The sequence below is a fragment of the Homo sapiens genome, chromosome 9, assembly GCF_000001405.40.
Source record: "Homo sapiens chromosome 9, GRCh38.p14 Primary Assembly".
NCBI classification, from domain to species: Eukaryota; Metazoa; Chordata; class Mammalia; order Primates; family Hominidae; genus Homo; species Homo sapiens.
In genome coordinates this window covers 84,571,303-84,592,121 of record NC_000009.12, presented here as the reverse complement: position 1 = coordinate 84,592,121, position 20,819 = coordinate 84,571,303, and the positions used below count along the sequence as shown (strand labels likewise).

The 20,819-nt window shown below is 39.3% G+C and overlaps 1 long non-coding RNA gene across 11 annotated transcripts in view, besides 1 other annotated feature; it reads right to left on the bottom strand.

The window, feature by feature from the left end:
• Positions 1-20,819, bottom strand: part of LOC102724036 (uncharacterized) — a 247,231-nt gene that overhangs the window by 64,910 nt on the left and 161,502 nt on the right. For 7 of the 11 annotated variants that reach the window (XR_007061623.1, XR_007061626.1, XR_930035.2 and 4 more), the window contains 5 exons: positions 17,434-17,646; positions 14,464-14,590; positions 13,253-13,351; positions 8,839-8,925; positions 7,900-8,039 (listed from right to left, as the gene is read on the bottom strand). This is a non-coding gene — a long non-coding RNA (uncharacterized LOC102724036). The remainder of the gene's footprint in view (positions 1-7,899; positions 8,040-8,838; positions 8,926-13,252; positions 13,352-14,463; positions 14,591-17,433; positions 17,647-20,819) is intronic. The other 4 variants (XR_007061624.1, XR_007061625.1, XR_007061622.1 and 1 more) reach the window with 4 other exon arrangements.
• Positions 16,781-16,950: an enhancer, noted in NCBI's record as "experimental_108369 CRE fragment used in MPRA reporter constructs". NCBI's record gives its function as "activates a minimal promoter by MPRAs in K562 erythroleukemia cells, with activity observed for both the introgressed and non-introgressed 9:87190172 variant alleles {active_cell/tissue: K562}" and the evidence as "EXISTENCE:reporter gene assay evidence [ECO:0000049][PMID:34662402]".

The window sequence follows — 20,819 nt, the reverse complement described above, 5'->3', positions numbered from 1 at the left end:
CACCTCACTTCCTCTGATTTCACCATGACCCCTTCTCCCTACCCCCAGCACACCACAATCACCCAGTGTTGACCATGCATTTTGTTCTAAAACATAATATACTCCTTCTTTCTTAGTGCTTAAGCAATGTGAGATATATTCTGATTATGTGACGTGCAAAAGTAAAAAAGAAATGACATTCGTGCAAGACAGATATTTTAGCCAAAGGAAGATTATAAGCTGTTGAACTAAAAATACTGAGATTCAAAAGAAAATATTTTCTTTTCTTGGACAAACTTTTCTAGGAGCAAAAACCAAGTTCAAATGGATGACCTGAGTGGCCACAGGGCAGAGGTGGCCACGTCTGAGGACCAGACAGCCCAAGGCCCATCTCCAGCATCTTGGAATCCACCAGTGGTACTGACAAGGCTGAGAGATACAGGCACACAGGTAAATATAAACATTAACACTGGAGATGTAGTTTCTCTCCCTTGCTGATTGATGAGAATAGTCTCAGGTATTTCTACCTAATAATGTTGTATCGTGAGAATAAATATGTTTCTTCCTAGTGTGGGTAACTTCTGGACCTCTGTTTGATAAGCCCTCATCAAATCTGATAACTCTGATAACTCTCAATGTTGTTAATTTTGTTATCTTGGTCTAGCATTTCACTTGTGAAAATGGACAGATCCCAGTTCTACTAGTAACTAAGGAAAAAATCTTAATTTCTGAGCATAGCCACTCTCATCAATACACACTGAGCAACTTCGGCTTGTCCTCCTTGTCCTTCCACCCACCCACATCCTAGTGGTTCTTATAAGAAAATAGGGACTTCTATGCTATATCCTTTTTAAGGTTTTGTCTGAAACATCTCCAGCAAGTTCTTAGTTTTTTATGTAAATTCAAAATACAGATGATAGAAGAATTTGGCTTACTTAGAGATGATACTGTGAGATACTAACTAAGATGTCCTTTTTCTTTCTTTTTAATGATCCTTCTCTTGGGCTGCAAACATTAACCTGCAATTTTTCCAGGGGTGGGGGAAGGAGAGTGAGAACATCAGAAAGAAAACAGAAAACAAAGTCTCCCAATTTGAAGGGTTAAGCTCAAAAACTAGGGGTTCAAGTATAAAGAAAAGAGAATTAGGAAGAAGATGTATGAGTCAGAACTGGAGTCTTCTGCCTTTCAACCACCCACCAGGCCTCCAATGAGCACAGGGCTGCAGCTCAGCCAGCCACTGGGCAGAGGTGGCCGCGTCCGAGGACCAGGCAGCCCAAAGCCCATCTCAAGGGACAGCCTCAGGGAACCTCATCAGATAGAGAACAAGAAGCGACCAAATGACATTTGAGCCCCTTCCTGAAGCTAGCATCAATCTGCAAGACAATGAGGAAACACAAATTCCAAATGTGGCTAAATTTTTAACTGAAGTGATTGAGAAATTATGAAAGTTGATGAGTTTACTTGGAAGTAACGAGATCCCATTTTCTGTATCAGGAAAAATGGAAGCTCAAAGCCAGAAATAATATTTTTATTACCAAACAAATGCTCCATTTTATATATCTGACCTTGAGAGTTGTGAAGTTTGAGTCCATTTCACTAACGGATAAAGTGCCTAGGTGTGAGTGCAGTCCAATCAGAACTCGCCTTTCTGATCAACCTGACCTCAAGTCTTGAGAGACTGTTGAACTGTGAGAAGATGAGAGCTGGGAAAGAATGTAGGGAAACCAGGCAGCACCTGGAAAAGTCATGAGAAGTCCAAGTCAGAAATGAGGGAAGGAGGGAAATGGGAAGTAAACAAAGAATGTATCATCATCTGTCTTCTCTGAAATCCCACCCGGGACAGATTCCCTTGCTCATCACTTATGCAGGCTCTGGGGTGGGGCAGGAAGGAAAAGTGAAAAGATGACTGCAGATGATCTGGGAGACATGCATTGGATGCAGGCTTTGTGGGAAGCATCCAGCTTGGGCAGAGTGAGTTTGAGGAATTCAAGAATAAAATATTTTCATGGATCATAGTGAAAGAAATATATGCAGTGAAAATGGGTAATGATACTAACCTCAATTCTCCCTTGCATTTGAGCTGACAGAGTGATATAATTATTGCCTTGGATCACAAGTCTGATAGGTCATTCACTTCTGGTATTCTGGCCAAGTTCCAGTACAGGTAATTACATTCTGCGTACCAAAATCCCCATAGAACATCTATTAAGTATGTTTCCTATCCCTTCCGGCCCATGGTTATGCCTTATTCTAAATCTCTTATGCCCAAGGGGATAGTGAGCCATGATAAGCTAGTATTTATCATACACCTTGAGAGCTCTGAATGAGAAGTGCTATAACAGTACAAATTGATCTCAGAAAGAGCAGATCAGCATTCCTTAGGTGTTAGGCAGTCCAAATCACTTCCCCTTACATAGATCTCCCTTCCTTATTTGCAAATACTCCACATTTATCTTAATCCTTTCCCACTTCTCTCACTGTAAGCATCTCAAGAACAAACAGTATAACTTCCCTGTCTTTGGTAGCTTCCAGTGAATAAGAAATGTGCCATAAAGCTTGGTGACAGATTACTTAATCACATGCTCACAGATCCTTAGCAGTGTCCTACCTCCTAAGGCCTGTCATAAACTCATACTCCGGGCCCCTTCTCATCAATTTTTTCCAATTCATTTAAACTAAAATAGCTATTAAACATAGGGGTTTTTTTTCCTTGTTTGTGTGACATGAACAAAACCAGACAATAAAGAGGAAATTATGAAAAGGTGGGTGGATAATGTGAGCAAGACGGGACGGGAAAGCCCAGAAAGGTGTGACACTTGGTGCTTGACAACCATCTTTGAATGTGTGCACACACCCATGAATGAAGAAAGAGATCAATCAATCAATAGGCTGTCTGTGGTTGTAGCATCAGATACACAATTAGATCTAGAGCTTAAGAGGAAATGATTGGCTCATAGAAAAAGTCACCTGCCCAGGCTGCATTGAAGGCAGGGTGTGTGCAGCTGGGCTTCAGGAGCAAAGAGGACCAAGCACAGGCTAACCAACTATCAGCTCACTTTTTCTCCACCTATCAGCTGCATTCTTCCTCTTTTGGTTGACTTTCTAGACATTGTCTACAATAGCTCCTAAATGTTAGGCCTACAGTTTATTCATCATCTGCAGAAACTGATCCTAAAATGAGTCCCAAGTCTGACTGATCCAGGAAGGTCCTCCTTGACGTGGCTCAGGTCAGGTGTCTCTCCCAGGACCAATCAACTGGAGCTCTGGGGTGGATGGTTGGTGTCATATGGAGACCCCTCTCTCAGTCATGACATGAAGCAGTTTCCAGGTGGGTGAGAAGGAGAGAGACAGGATGGAGGAAGTTCCTAGGTGTACAGTCCCAAAAGTCAGGAGTTAACTGGAGGAGTAAGCATAGAGTTAAAATGAACTAAATGAAGGTTACAAGCTTATGTAAGATTTGGTGTATTTTAGCCTAATATTCTGGTCGTGTCAAAACATCAGTGGCTTGATCTTGTCTTTGTCACTTCTATAAAGCTGCCACTAATGCTAGATGGAAGACACCAAAACTCCAGGTCACTCCACAGCCCTGGCCCTCGGATAGCCTCACTGAGATACTGCAGAATCCTCCAGTACTTGCCTAATGGGTCTTCCCATAAGCCTGGTGATGCAGGTTTGCTCTCGTGCCCATAAAAGTCCACCTGCCAGGCCAGGCACAGCAGCTCACACCTGTAATCCCAGCACTTTGGGAGGCCGAGGCGGGAGGATCAGCTGAGGTCGGGAGTTTGAGACCAGCCTGACCAACATGGAGAAACCCCATCTCTACTAAAAATACAAAATTAGCTGGGCATGGTGGCACATGCCTGTATTCCCAGCTACTCCGGAGGCTGAGGCAAGAGAATCACTTGAACCCGGGAGGCGAAGGTTGCAGTGAGCCAAGATTGTGCCATTGCACTCCAGCCTGGGCAACAAGAGAGAAACTCCGTCTCAAAAAAAAAAAAAAAAAAAGGCCACCTGCCAGGTCACAAGCTCCTCAGTGGGAGGAGAGGTTGGGGAAAAGAGACAAGGATTGAAGAGAGAGCAAACTACAGATGCAGGGACATGGATCAGGAGGGGCGGTGGATGCAGTGGGGTGTTGGCATGGAAGACAGAGGGGCAGCTTTGCAGCTGGCCCAGGAGCAGGCTGTCCCTAGAACAGATCACCTCTTGAGGTTTTTATTAGCCTGGGACTCTGAGACCTTTTCAGAACCTCCAAACCCAGCCCCCCTGGTTTCCAAGCTGCCACAAGGCAGGTAGTGAGGCAACCAGGAAGGATCTGGATCTTGCCTGCTTTTAGCAAGTCACTTACATCCTTGACTTCAACTCCTCCTTTGTAAAATCATGGACTGTACTATGTATTGGCATGGTTTCTTCTCTCTCTACAGTGATAGCTTTTATCCCTGTAAAAACAGCTGACCTAGGCAGGTGGAAAGATTAATAAATTAACAGGCAACATTGAAACAAGACACAAGTAAGATGGGAGGCAATCTTTTAAAAATCTTTTGAAGTCCCATTAAAATCTACGGTCGAGCCTGCCTCTACTAGCGAATTCTGACCAAATTTCATGGTCACCCCATAACTGTAACTATAGAAACTTGGTAAAAGTCAAGAATTTGGAAGCCTTTACACAAACACTGCAATGATTTTTATTTCATGAGATGAAGTATAAAAAGCACTGGTCCTACGGTGATTAACTAGGGTTTTATAGGCAGTGTTTCAAACAAGTGCTGTGTTGCGTGTGTTCAGTTACTGTAGTTATGATTTCATTAGCTTCTCTGATAAATAATGCAACGACTTTAATGATGCATTTCCTCTTTAAAAAACCCACAATGGAAACTCCATTTCATAACAATGACTTCTGTTTAATTTTTATTACTTTTAAATTAATCTGTGAGGTTTTAAAAAGTAAAAACCATCTTCTAAGGGGGAAAAAAAGGAAAGAAAAAGGTTAACCTGTTTAAAAGGTGCAATCATTTCTGGGTGAGTACAAAATGGATATAGGTCAAGAACCAGCGTGAAGGCCCCACCTTCCTCAATTGAGTCCTTTTTAGATCACAAAAGGAAAGTGGTCCTGCCAAATTAAAACCCTCCATAACAATAAAACCTGATTTAATGCAGTCATTATTTTTCCATTAAATCTGAATATCATCTAATGCATGTATGTTATTTTAAACCCACCACACTAATGCAAATCCAGCATTCCTTGTAAATCAAACCTAAACGTTCCATCAGTTGTCATTACTGCTATTGACAATCACAATACCTCATCCCCAAGGACACCGTCCCCTCAATCCCTGACTCTAGAGATGGGAGGAAAAAATAAAGAAGATGCATTTTAATTTCCAACGGAGAGCTGCTTACTGAAGTGTAGAGGTTGGGTCAGTAACACCCTGGAGGTCTCAGCTTAATGTAGTTCAACATGTAACCCTTGCTTCTCCAGGCCACACTACACTGGGAAAAATTTAAGGATTGGGTTAGGAACAACCAGGGAAAGAGAAACTACTCTAAGTATTTAAACTAGAGGAAGTTTAGTGGTGGGATTTTGTGGTGTGGGGAGTGGATGTGACTGGAAAGGCTGAGAAGCCAAACAGGAGATGGTGGTGCCACCCAGAGATTGGCAACTGCAGGGAACTGTTACCACACCTTGGCTGGAGGGACAGAGGGAAGATGAAGTTGTGTGAGGACCCACAGACCACGGATTCTGGGAGGATTCTGGAAGAAAACCAGATCTGTCCAGTGGGATTTGGAGTCATGTACTCAGAAGAGACATTATCACTGCTGGAGATGCTGCCTGAGGCACAGGAGTGGGACAAATGCCTTGTGTCTCCCTTTCCTCTACCCTCCTAATTCCTGCGAGTGCCTCTCATGGGTCAGATCCAGCTAAGAGGCCAACTGACCTGAGAGCCTGGGAAATGCAGTCTATGGCCATGTGTCCCACTGTGGCACAGAGTAGAGCTGGAGAAGGATGAGGAAACGGTGTGAGGACAAATGGCCCGGAAGCAGCAGAAACTAAAATCACATTCCTATTCTGTCCAGTGTCTGTCTTCTTGGGCTAGGCTGCTCCAACCCCTGCTTCCAGCCCCAATACAGACCCTTTGCTAAGAGTTACCGAAGCTTAGAGAGGGTTGTGTCACCTCCCGCCCCGCCCCAGTGTGGCAGCTCTTTTGATCTCTTAAGTTGCTGCTCCCCCATGTGCTACAGTACTTTCAACACCAAACAGATTGTGGGGTGGTGGGTATCGTGATTAACTCCCTAGCACTTACTTAATTCACCCTCTATGGAGAAGTCATATGGTCTGGATGGGATTGTCCCCACCCTCCGCTCCAAGGTTAGGACTCGTTTGGTTCTGCCTAAGTGCCCCTCACCCACAGTGACTGGTTCAGAAATGGGCACATGAGACCAGCCTGGACAGGTCAGAGCAAAACATCACCCTCATGGTAGTGATTGATCCAGTGGCAGAACCTGCGTCTTAGGTGGGTTCAACCTGTGTCCTAAATGGGCTTTTGTTCTGCAAATGGAGGAAAGAGAACCTATGGGCTGGGGAAACGTGTGACCCCAGGAACTGATGGCAGAGATTTGGCTACCGGCTTGAGGATGATGCAGTCACCGAGATGAGGGCAAAACTAAGGGCAAAACTCGGTTTTCCACAGGGAAACCGAGCCACAGACTGATGACAGCATGAGCCTTGAGAACAAACCAACTCACCCTGCTTTTGGACTTCACAATTACATGAGTTAATAAATTCCCTATAGCTTAAACCACTTCAGAGTTCTATTGCTTGCAACAAGAATCCTAACTGCTTTTGAGGAACCAAGTGATTCTTCAAAGGTATGGCACATGGTAGACATTAATAAACAATTTATTGCAATTGTTTTCTTGTATAGCTACTGAGAAATTTATATCAGGTTTCCTGGAAGCTGGGATGGCAGTGATCTGGGACTCTTGTAGGACAACATCATCTTAAATCTGGTTCTCAATACTCATGACCCACACTAAACCTATCTCCAACACAAACTAGATACGCTTACCATTTCTCTCCATTTCAGGTGAGTTTCCCAACTTACAATTACAAATAAAGGGCTCAGTGGCAGCTGAGCATAAACTCAAGAGCATAAACTTAAGAAATAAATAGAAAATACTTCAGAAATTTTTTTTTGATAGATGGCTTAAATGAAAGCTGTGTTTCATTAAGCATGAGGGATGTAGATAGGTGACTGACTCCACTGACGCCACGTGAATAAAATGTCTGGGGCAGATTCTACTTGAAAATCATACTGGAATGTCTCAGGCAGTGGTTCCCTAGGGGGTTGATTTTGTTCCATAGAAGACATTTGACAAAGTCTGGAGACCTTTTTGGTTCTCACAGCTGGGAGTAGGGGTGTTACTGGCATCTGGCGGATAAAAGCCAGGGGTGCTACTGTACATCCTAAAATACACAAAAGCCCCCGACAACAAAAAATTACCCCCAGCTCCAAATGCCCACAGTGTTGAGCTTGAGAAATTCTGCCATAAGGTTAAGGATTTAATTAAACAAGCAAGAAAAAAATCACATTAAAATTTTTCCAAAAGATTGAGTACTTTTATTTTTGGTTGCATATTTTTTAATAAAATGAGATGTAAATGGCTCAACTGAATTGTTACAAACAGTGAGATTTACCAGTGCTCATATTTTTTTTACTTTCATTTTCTAGCTTTATAACAAATTTGTTATCTTACATTATTCTAGAAAAGGCAACAGTGTGGCTTATTTTTTATAACTGGTGTGTAGCCAGAAATGGTTTTCAAATAATACCAACCATGGCACAGACCCTCACCAATCAGAGCAAATACAGGCTGTAAGTAATCCTAGCAGAGCCAGCTGGGCATCGCTGGTTACTGGCCTACCTTCATCTCTTCTACTTCTTTCCACTATCACAAGATTCCACCTTCTGGAAAGCTGAGGATAGGCTGTACCAGCATGTCAAAACACTCCTTAGTTAGCAGCCACTGATGTTATGGGTAGTGGCTCTTCTTCCTTCCGCTCTCTTGTAAGCCACAAAGCAAAGAATGAGGAAGGAGTTAGGGCCAAGAAGGACATAAGTCATCAGGGTGTAAAACAAAGCCATCCTCAGCACACAAAAGACCACAATCTAACCACCTACCTAGTATACCATTCAATAGAGGTCAGCTTGGGGCTTGTGAGAAATAAACATCTGCAAAAACTGATGTGCTCATTGGGTAAACTTGAAATTCATTACTTCTGATACCATGAACAAACGTCAAGAAGTAATTCTTCCTACCCCCATACACTTATCTTTATCCTTCCCTGGTCTTCAATGGGAGTCTGATCCATCTAAAACAGCCTCCAATGACACCTCCCTTTTCCATAATCTAATTGCAGATATTAGATACTAGTATTGCAGTTTAGCTTATCCATGATCTTTCTCTCTCCTGTGTATTTGTTTTGTTTCCCTACCTAGGCTTTGAGGTCCTTGAGGATAATAAGCATGTTGTCTATCAGATTGCTGATTAGTTACTAGGTGCTTATGACATATTGAATGATTGATTAAAGCTACTCGGAATTTGAATGACACAAAATAGTATTATTTTTTCCTGTATTATCATGACAAGGTTTTGAAAAGTTCTAGTCCACATTTGCCTTTGACCTGAACAATTCAAGGTAATTTATCAAGTGAATTTTAGAAATTCATAGTAGGGAGTGTTAGTTCTACCTTACATTCTGATAAGGGAGAAACACAAAGGAAGATGCTAGGAAAAAGAGGCTGCTTCAGTAGATTGGAATTGCCTATCCACTCATGTGTATGAAAACATTTTAATACTTACATATTTTACCAGGAGTCTATGGGAAGCAGCTGGTGCAGTGCACAGAGAGTTGGAAGGCGATTCTGAAGCCTCACACTCCAACTGGCTCTGAAATAATCAAACAAAGAAACCAAGCAAGTCATTTAATCTCATAAACTCCCATGTGTTTACCTGTAGGCAGGGCTGTTGGATGTGGTATTTTATTCATTTATTTTAAAATAGTTTTTTATTAATTATTAAACACTTCCAGATGAACACTTATATGCCTAGGTAGAGGAGACAAAAAGACAAAACACTCAGGTGTTCTCTACCCAGCAGATTGAGGCGCCCTTATGCCCCATCCCCTGTCATACCCTTTAGTAAAAGCCATCATCATTCTGTCTCTTTGTGAAAATGTTACCTCATTTGATAGATTCCCCCAAAAATATATTGTTTCATTTTGCATGTTTTGAAATTTACCCAAATGGAATTATACTATGTTCATTCTCCTGCTGCTTGCCTTTTGTGCTAAGCATTACATTTATGTTACATGCAGTTGTATTTAATTCATTTTTACTGCAGTATAATATTCCAATGCATGCATATGCTGCAATTAATTCCAGTGTTGTACTATCACTGCTATGTTTTTTATACACCTCTGTTGGTAAACATTTGTAAAAGTTTTTTCCAGAGTATATGTCTTAGAAGTGACATTGCTGAATCTTTGACTGTGCACTTTTTGTAATTTACTATACGATGCCTGTTTTTCAAAGTGGTGGAAGCAATTTACACACAAAGCAGCAGAGGATGAAAGTGTCCACTGCTCCTCAACTGCTCCGAGTTGAAATTTTTGTAATAACTTTCACATGTGTATAGGCCACTTATGTTTCCTTTTCTGTGAAATTTCTTTTATTTGGTTGTCTTTTTCTTACTTAATCATGGAATTTCTTTATGTGTTCTGGGTAAGCATGCCATGTTGATTATTTGTGCAGCAGCCATCTTCCCTGCTGTGGCTGGTCTTTAACTCTCTCAATTTCTCTCTTTCTCTCTCAATAAATAGAAATTCTAAATTTTAATGTTGTGGAATTTATCAATCTTTTCATTTATGTTTCAGGAAATCATTCTCAATTTCTGGGAATATCTCTGTGGGAGAATAGACATAGTCTCCTATTTTGTCTTACAAATGTTTATAATGTTGTTTTTCATTTTTACATTTAGACCACCTGGAATTGGTTCATTATTTTGTATAAGGACTCCAGCTTCATTTTTAACCATATGGATAACCAAATATCCCAGTACCAAGTAACAAAAAATCCACCCTTTACCCACTGAACTGCAATACTACCTGTATCACATGTCTAGTGTTCATATGTGTGTTTCTCTATTCCAGGGTTCTCTTCCTGTTTCAACATCGCATTGTTTATCTCTGTGCCAATATCACATTGTCTTCATTTCTATAGCTTTATAGCAAATGCCTATCTTTTATAGAACTAGTCCCCCCCCCCTTTCTTTTTAAGAATGCTCTTGCTATTCTTGGCCCTGTGAACTTCCACATTCACTTTAGAACTAGCTGTAGGCTGTCAAGTTCCACGGGGGTTGGGGGAAGAAAACAGCAGCAACAGCAACAGCAACAACAACAAAAGAAAACCCTTCGTACTTCACAGGAATCAGGTTGAATCTATAGATCAATTTGGAGAGATATTTTACAATGTTAAGTGCTCTGACTCATGACAATATATCTCTTCATTAATTTAGGGGTTTTTTTTTTCAATAAAGCTTCCATTTTCTCCCTAATTATTGCATATATTATGATAGCTTTATTCTTAGTTACTTGATATTTCTCAATGCTGTTTTAAAATTGGTTTATTTTTCTGTTTGTTGCTGACATATAGAATAGCAATGATTTTATGTTGATTTCGTATCTAGCAACCTTACTAATATATCTTCTTAATTCTAATAATTGATCTATCTGTATCTTTCTTTGAGTTTACTATGAAGACAATCCTAAAATTTTGCCCTTCCTTTCTAATCGTTACACATGTAATGTCTTTAAATTGCATTACTGCAATGGCTAGGTCATCATGGACAGTATAGAAAAAAGTAATAACTGCATACATACTTTCTTCTTCCCTTTCTTTACCATAAAGAATAATATTTGCTGAAAACTTTTTTGTAGTTTTTACCAGATAGAGAAACTTAAAGTCTATTTCTTATTTGCTAAAGAGTTTTTATTTTTAAATCATGAATGGATGTTAAATTTTATCAAGTAGTTTCTTTTCTACATCCATAGAAATAATCATATTGTTTTGCCCTTTCTTCCATTATTGTAGTGAATTACACTAATCCATTTTCTAATGTTACACCAAACTTTCATACCTATCATAGACCAAATTAGATAATGAGATATGCTATTTCTTAAGTGTGTTAAATTCAATTTATTAATATTTTCCAAAGAATTTCTTTTTATTCAAAAGTAAAATTGGCCTGTAATTTGTCTTTCATTTTATTTCCTTTTCTGATTTGGCATGAAAGTTATTCTAGCCTCTTTAAAGGAGTAAGAAGTGTTCCCATTTTCCTGTTTTTTTTATTAAATACATTTTATATTTAGAGTAGTTTTAGGTTTATAAAAACATTGCAAAGATAGTACAGTTCACATATACCCTACACCCAGTTTCCCCTATTATTAACATCTTACATTAATATGGTACATATTTGGAAGTGTTTATGTAATGTTGAAATTATCTGTTCCTTGAGTGTTAGCAAGAATTTACCTGTAAAATTATCTAGTCATCCTGCTTTCTTTAAGGGGAAGATTTTTGAACTACTGATTAATGCTTCTAAGATTATACTAGTTTTCCATTTCTTCTTGAGTCAGTATATTTTTAGCAATTTTTGCACTTCATCTAACTTTTAACTCCTTTTGTCATAAAGTTGGTTCACAATATTTTTTCATTATCTTTTAAATCTCTGACCCTTCTGTAGTTATCTACATATTTTATTTGGCATATATATTTCTTTCTTATTCCTCTTACCACAGTTTTGTCAATCTAATTAATATTTACAAAGAGCCCTCATTTGGCCTTGTTGATTCTCTTTGTTTTCAATTTATATATCTACTGCTGTTGAGTTTATTCTATTACTCTTTTCTTTGTTTCTTAAATGGGATGCTGACATCATTAGTTTTCAGCCTTTTTTTCTTAAGTGCAAATATACGCATTTAAATTAACTTCCAAATCCTAGTTTAGCTGCATCTCACAAGTTCTGATATTTTCATTAAGGTTTAGTTACATAGATATTTTTATTTGTATTGTGATTCCATTTTAACTCATGGGTTATTTAGTAAATATGGCTTTTAAAGTTCCACACACGATTTTGTCTACTTGTTTTTTAGTAGAAACAGAGAATAAAAACACTTATTTTGTAGTCAGATAACATGCTCTATATGTTGTCAAGATCCTTTGAAATTTGTTAAGACTTGCTTGGTAGCCTAAAAAGTGACCATTTTTCATAAATTATCCACATGTGCATAAAAGAATGTGGATTTTAGAGTTAATTATAAACATATTCATTTTATAAAATTTAATTATAGTATTCAAATATTCTATATGTTTATTGACTTTACTGTTTGATCTGTTCATTTCTAAAATTGGTTATGTATTACCTTTTCACCATGACAGTGGACTTGTCTTTAACTCCTCATACTTTTATCAACTTTTAGTTTAAATATGTTGTGGCTATTTTATTAAAGTATACAAGTTTAGAATCTTATGTCTTCCCTGGTAAATTGAATATTTTGTTTATGTAGTGACTCATTTCCTCTCTGCTAAATATTGTTTTAGGTCTAGTTTATTAATATAAATATGTCAGCTTTTTTGTTGCTATTTGCCTAGTACATGTCTTTTTCATTCTTTTGTTTCCAACATTTCTTTGTTCTCATTTTTATTAATATACAGCATAAATATTTTTAATCCAGTTTGATAACCTTTCCATTTTATCAGGATTGATTTTTCATTTCCATTGATTGGGATTACTGGTATTTGGATTGCTTGTTTTGTGCTCTATATTTGTTCTAATTTTTCTATTTTCTCTCTTTCCTTCCTTTCTTGACCTGTTCTTATACAGACTCCATTTTTTTCTCATTCCAATTTTTTCCTCAAGTAAATAGAAATTACACACTATTTTTTTTTCTTTCTTTTTCTGGGGGAAGAAGAAGTGGTTTCTCTAGAAATTTAAACATGAAAACTTATCGAAGAAATCTAAAATTGCTCACCATGTTTACCTTTGTCAGAAAGAGTCTGAGAACTACAGAACAATTTGAATTTCATCACCTCTACAATGATTTATATGCCACTCTTAATCGATGTTTTTGTTCTATTTTTTAATCCACAAATTAGACATCTATCATCATCAGTGTTTTATCTAATCAATGTGTGTTTATATTGAATTTCATATTTACCAATTTCTATGTTTTCCTTCCTTCCTGCATCTCCGATCTTTATTGGGATCATTTTCATTTTCCCTGAAATACACATTCCCAAATTTTCTTTACGGTCATCTGTGGGTGGTAAACAAAATTTTTATTTGTCTGAAAATGTCTTAACTTTGGAAGACAGTTCATTACCTATAAAATATAGTAAATTCACTATATATATTCACTAGATATAGTTTCAGAACTTTTAAGTATTAGTTTATAGTCTTTTGGTTTCCATTAGTACTATTAAGAGGTCAGCTATAAATCTAATTGTCATTCTTTGTAGGTATTTGTCTTTTCTCACCAGCTTCACTGAATTTTTTTTATTTGTATGCAATGTTGGGCAATTTCCCTATGTTGTTTCTAGGTGTGGCTTTTTCTGTATTTATCCTATTTGGGACTTACTGAGCTTCCTGAAACTGACAGTTGGTGTTTTTCCATTCTTGAGATACTAAACCATTTTTGACTTTCAACATTGCTTTTCCTTCATTCTATTTTTTCCTTCTGTAATTCCGCTAAATATGTTAAATCTCTGTTTTACATTTCCTATCTACTTGTCTTTCCTTGCTGTGTTGTATAGAATTTCTTCAGCCCTATTTCTCAGTTCACTTATTCTCTCTTCAGTTATGTCTGATCTGATATTTAATCCATCCAATATTTCTCAAATATCAACTGTGATATTTTTCTAGTCTTACAAGTTTTGACTTATTCTTATAACTGCTTAGTTATTTTAATAGTATATTTTCCCATAATCATATTTCAATCCTTTTTTTTTCTTTTAATTGCCACTCTGCCCTTAAATTCTACCTCTCCCACTTAGTAACACCACCTCAGCCACCCTGACCTTCTATGTCAGGCATACTTCTACCTTCAAGCTTTTACCCTTGCTGATTCCTCTGTAGAATGTTTCCATCTAACCCCCTAGATGCACATGCCTCATTTCTCACTTCCTTCAAGTTTTTGTTCAAATATAAATTGCTCATGTGCATTTCATACACCCACTTCCTGCTTTATTTTTCTCTGTAGCCCCTTTCCCTTCTAAGTCTATACAGTTATTTTTTTAACTCGAATATAAATGTTTAAAGACAGGGATATTTTCTGTTGTTTTTCATTGTTGTATCTCCAGTACCTAGAATAATACCTAACACAGAGCTGAAACATGTAAGAATTTATGAGTAAATATTAAATACACTTACTTTATCTGTTGTGTCTAATAATATTGGTTCCTGCTTTTATTCATGATGCCTTCTTTCCTTGTGTGTTTTATGATGTCTGACTGTGAGCTCAAGTTCCTTGGACTTAGATATGTGAAACCTTTGAGGCCTGAGTTGAAAATATGATAGCCCAGAGAAGATTTACACCCGATTCTGCCAGATATTTAAGATTACAACAAATTCCTGGCCGCTCTTATATTATTTGTTTGCATGAAGTTTTTCAGAACACACACAATATATATGCTAGATAAATAAATAAAAATTATCAGAAATGCAAACAGTGGGATACTTTAATATACTTCTTGCAGGACTTAACCTGAAGTCAAAAAATAAGTAAGGATGTAGAGTAATTAGTACATATATAAGAACCTACATACCAGAATAGAAAAATATGTTTATTTGTATGTCCAAAATCAATCACATATTTGGCCACAAAGAAAACCTTCTAATTTTTTTTTTTCTTTTTGAGATGGAGTCTCGCTCTGTCTTGCCCAGGCTGGGGTGCAGTGGCGCAGTCTGGGCTTACTGCAGCCTCCACCTCCTGGGTTGAAGCGATACTCCTATCTCAGCCTCCAGAGTAGCTGGGACTTCAGGTGTGTGCCACCACACCCAGCTAATTCTGTATTTTTAGTAGAGATGGGGTTTCACCATGTAGGCCAGGCTGGCCTTGAACTCCTGACCTCAGGTAATCCACCCCGCTCAGCCCCTCAAAGTGCTGGGATTACACGCATTAGCCACTGCACCAGGCCATAAATTTTTAAAAGTAGGAATTGTAGTGATCATATATTCAATCATAAGCTTAATGATAATTTTAACTACTTATAAATTAATAAACATACATGTCTACCTTTGAATCAAAGATTAATTAAAACTGAAACTTCAAGTTCTCTAGCAAGTCATTGAAATTAGAATAATTATAACAAAATCTATGGGACACAGCAAAAGCATACTTAGAAAAAAATTATAGCCTTAAAAACTTTCAAAGGCTAAAACTGAATATACTTAAGATTCATGTTAATAAATTAGAAAAGGAGAAATAAAATTAACTGGATCTAAAAAAAAAGGAGGATAAATAAAACCAAAACTTTATTCTTTGAAAAGACCAATAAAAAGGTAAGCTCTTAGAAGGAAAAAGAGAAAATATATTTAAGGTTAGAAATAAGACATAACCACAGATACAGAGATCAAATTTATCATAAGAGAATATTCTGTGCAAATTGATGGCAACAATTGTTTTCATTTTCTAGCAAAATTTCAATAGAACACTGATTAGAGCAGTTAAAATAGAAGAACTAAGGAAGATGATTTAAGGTCCTTTCAGAAAGCAACTTTCAAAGCAACTTTTAGGGCTGAAGAATGCACAGAGGCTTCAGAGTGATTCCAAAGTAAACCACTCTAGAAGAGTAGTGACCCCAACACTCTCCTCTTAAACACTATAAATTCAATATTAGGATAATCAGGTCCAAGATTGCAACACCACATTGAATCTTACTGGGAGTCCTGGATTCCAGAACCTGCTCTGGGACAGATTAATTGGAAGATGCTGAGAAGATAACACTCTATGAGGACGCTGAGTCCCCTTGGAATCAGTATTCAGGACAGGTGATAAATAAGCTTCAGGTAAATCCAGAAGGCTGAGTCTTCTTGGTTTCAAGGTCTCACTCGAAAATTCTAACAGTTTCTGAAGATGTGCAAATCATCAAATCTAGCCTTGTCAAAATGTGCATTTCTGAATTATTGTCAGTATCGGCAATTTCTTGGGAAAGTGTCAACCTCATGTTCATATGATTATTGTTCAGATGGAAACATTTAAAAACTCATGAAAGGCAAAATTAATGAAAATGCGGTTTCCAAGGTCAGAGTCATGCATTGCAATGAAAATCTACCTCCTTCCAAAACAAAAAGTACCATTGAACTACAGTTTGTGGTGGGAGGTGGGAGGAGTAAATTGATGACCATATTTATCAAAAGGAGGCCTAGAGATTATGTATTGTAGTGGCATTGTTGTTTTCTTGACTACAGTCTCACCACTGAAACCTAAATGTGAATTACTGGACGTTTAGAGTCAAGTGAGACACTGCACCAGAGAAGTTACTTAAGCTATTCCTGGACTCCTGCTCCACAGAAGCTGTAAACTAATAAATATGTATGCTCTTTTAAGCTGCTGGATCTGTGGTAATTTGTTATGCAGCAATATAAAACTAATACCACCCCTGTACCTCTCCCTTCACACTGTTCTCACTGCCTATACAGCCTCCCATCCCCTTCCTCTTCTCTCTAGATAAAGTCTTCCACCCTTTAAGGCTCAGTTCAAACATCGTCTCTTCCAAGAATCCTTCTCTTAACTCTCCCCAAACCCTCTCCTTAGGCTCCATAGTATGTATAGATATCTATCATTACACGTATATTTCAATGATCATCACCTTAGATATATGCCTCCTTGACTGGATGTGAGCCCCACTGAAGCAAGGGGCTATGTCTTTGTCATATTTACATTTTTAATGTCAAGCACAATGCCTGCCACAAAGTAAACATGCAATAAATGTTTATGTGGTGGGTATGCATCTAAGCCCCCTAACTGTGTATTTTGAATAAGTCAATATAATTACCAACTTTAAGCCCCCACTTCACCAGGCTGGCAGGAAATTTACCCTCTCCCTTCCTTAGTTTGTCTTCCCCCTTCCTGGGGGTCATTTCAAAAGTCCAAGATCTCACACTGCATCAAAGTGCTATGCATACGGGGCTCAGTCACCTGTCTGCTCATATTACTGCTAAGACTTTCACTGTCTCTATCTATGCAGCCTCTCTAGTACTTCTGCAGCAGGCTTGGAGGTAGGAATTAGATGTATCACCCAACCATTCCACCCTGAAGATTTTTTTCTCATCCTGGGGAGCCCTTAAAGAGAGCAGGGCCTGGATCCCTTCTACTCCAGGACTACAGCTCTTGCTCACCTCTTTCTCCTCCAAGCCAAATGTCATCTCCTCTAGGAGTGGGGCTACTTCTCCGAGACATGCCGTCCAAATCTTCAAGTCCCTTTGCCTCTTTTGGCTCCTTGACAAACCCTCTAAACTCCCAAGAGCTTAGGCCAGAAATCAATGCTGACTTTCTCTGCCTTCAGCCCTAAAAGGAATTTTCTCTGAGGCAATGAAGTCCACATAACATCCCTATTTGAATGGGAGGAATGTAAAGGAAGGAATTATAAATACATGAATATGCACCTCCATATATTAACCAGTCTCTCTTTGGGGTTGACTATGTTTACTAATTGGCTAAATTAGAGAATGAATGATAATGCTAAGGCATCTAGGCAGAGGGAGTATAAGTCACCAACAGAGTGTCAATCATATATCCTAAAGGAATCATAGTGGCAAACAGATCAACTCCTCTCGTGAACATAGCAAGAGCAACGGGAACAGCCTAGGCATATAAAATCTATAGATAATTTAGGAATGACCAGTTTAGGTAATCAATTTTGAACGATTACATTCTTAAGCCTTCTCTAAAGTTACTTCTGCCTCATGTAAATTTCACCCCGAGGGACACTTTTTAAGCCCACTTAGTTTTAGCACACCTGAGATGGACAGTTCTAAGCACACATCTAGCTTCCCATCTCAAGAGTCAAGGCTCCCTGTTGGTCTGCCCCAAGCCTCTCTCCTAAGCCTTGGAGGACCACTGAGACATGCCCAGGCTCATCCCAGAAGTAAAGCGGTGTTAATACTCTGCCAATTGGTCGCAGGAGTTTGTGGATAAATGTCCCAGGCTTCTGACATTCAGAAAGACAATTCTAAGGTTTATTCTACACAGCTCCTCAGGGATCCCAGGGAACTGAGCCTCGGTTGCCTGCAGTGGTAATCAGCTCAATTGCATACTCTTTATTGGCTTTTTCCCTCGCTCTCCATCTCACTTCTAACACATTCTGGCTTCCAGGAATCACTCCCAAATAAACTACCTGTCTCAGGCTCTGCTTTTAGAGGAAACCAGACTAAGACAATTCTCCGTCATGAGCATCTTTTCTGGAAGAGGTGCTAATGAGGAGTGACATACCCAAAAGGTAAGTACTAGGTTGAATAGAGGGGATGGGGAGGTGAAGTAGGGATGGATAACTAAAATAAGAAACTTGGGAAATCAACTGCAGAGCTGCCTCAACGAAGGGGCTGTAAATTGGCCCCTAAGAGTTCATATGTGCAATGTCTGGGCCAAGTTCAAGGAGAGGAATATGCTGCTTCCCGGATGAGAGTATTGACAGGTCAGTGAGCATGGATGCACGGAGAGAATGCAAGCTCAGGCTCTGACAGTGCTGCTTTAGCAATGCAAATGCTGATGCACAGCCACCCTGTGACCTCACCCTCAGCCTCAAAGTGGGGCAGCGAGAAGAGAAGAGTGCTTAGGCAGCTCTCTGGGAAGAGGAACGATGCCAGCATAAGCTGAGAGGTATAAGCAATAAGGCTGCTGGGAAAGATTAGAGCATCTAGAGCAAGTCAATGAGGTCATAGTCAAGGAAAAGGAGAGAAGGGGAGGAATGAGGTCAGGCATTTCCAGAGCCCCTCCAGAGTGCTCAGCACTGAGCTGCAAACTTGACTTATGCAACCTGGGTTTCCCAGACCACACCAGTGGATGGTTTAAAATGAGCACATGTTGACAGACAGAACCTACATTTAACCTGATCTTGCCCCTACGTGTTATTATAGGAGTTCCAGCCCCCTATAAAGGCTTCCATATTATTTTTGCTATGCCCAGTGGGGTCAAACATGTGCTTAACAACAAGTCCTGGCATTCACCTTACAGCAACTGCCATTTTCTTTCTCTTTTTGTCTAATCACTGTGGAAAAAAAAAATTTTTACAAAGCTATGGGAAGACATGGGCACCACACTTGATCATTGCTTCTGGGGTCCACCATCATGCTGTTTCCCACCAAGCCCAACCAGCACCTGGCAGGTTCTCTAAGCATCAGTCCTTCTGTTGAGTATTGATGTCTCTGGAACACTCACTAGATATCACTGTTTCTATCAGAGACTACTTCTCTCTCCACCTACGAAGAAGCACTATCTGGTGAGGTACCATGAACACCTCTGCTGGAGACCAGCCCTCACATTGTGCTACTGCCGTTTCTACCACCTCTGTGGTGTATTGTTAGACTCAAGGTAACAAAGCACGGTGGTGTCCAGACCAAAGGAGAAAGCATTCCTTTTCCTATATATGATTTTCCATTTGGCTGGAGGTACAAGAAAAATAATAGTGGCCAATATATAGTGAGTTTTTAATGTAAGCCAATGTGCTGATCGTACAATACTGGCTCCCTCCCAAAGGTAACCACATCCTAATCCCAAGAACCTGAGAATATGTTATCTTACCTGGGAAGAAAAGGACACTGCTGATGTGAGTTTCAGATGGGGAGATTATCTTGGATTATCTGGGTGGGCCTGATGTAATCAGAAGAATTTTATAAGTGCTATCTGGAGGCAGGAGAATCTGAATCATAGAGAGACCTTAAGATGATATACTGCTGGCTTGGAATTTCAGATTTCCAACCTCCAAAACCGTAAGATACCAAATGTATGTTGTGTTGAACCATAAAGTTTGTGGTAATTGTTACAGCAACCACGGGAAACTAATACAGCCCAGTTCTGGGCCAAGCACCTTACATGTATTCTGTCACTCAATCCTCTGAGGAGCCCCATGACGGAAGTAGCACAATTAACATCACTTTATAAAATAGAAAACTGATCCATGGAAAATCAGGTTAATTGTCTAGTCTCTCTGTCTGCTGCTGGCCACACACCCAGGGCAACTTAATTCAGTCAGTGCTCCTAACTACTCCACGGCATGGTCTCCTGCCAAAGCAAGGGGCTGTGCCCAGTGTTCTGTGGCATTTTCCATGAAGCAATGGTAGCGGGAGCATGCCAAGGACCCACCTTTGCAGACTTAAAGTTTGTGCCTTATCAGGCCAGGGCAAAATGCAGGGAATTCAGTCCCTCTCTGTTCCTACTGGCCTATGAATATTCCCTTCTCCACTCCTGTCCAGCCAAAGCCCTCTAAAGAAAAGTGGGGCTGTCATCACTGTCCATACCTTCCACCTTACCCATCTTATCTTCACCAGTCATGTGCAATATGTGGAATTCTTTACTAAAAAGTCTAAGAGATCTCAGAACGGGAAGAACAAACATTGGAGCTTTATTGAACTTGCTATTATTTTGGAATTTTCAGGGAAAGGCCTTTTAGCATCACATCTCCCAAAGGTGAGAGCCCAATGCTGGAGTTCCCTCTCTCCCACCTTCTAGCCAACCCTACCACCCTTCCATGTGATCCTCTCTTCCAAGTCCCCATGGATCTGGGGTT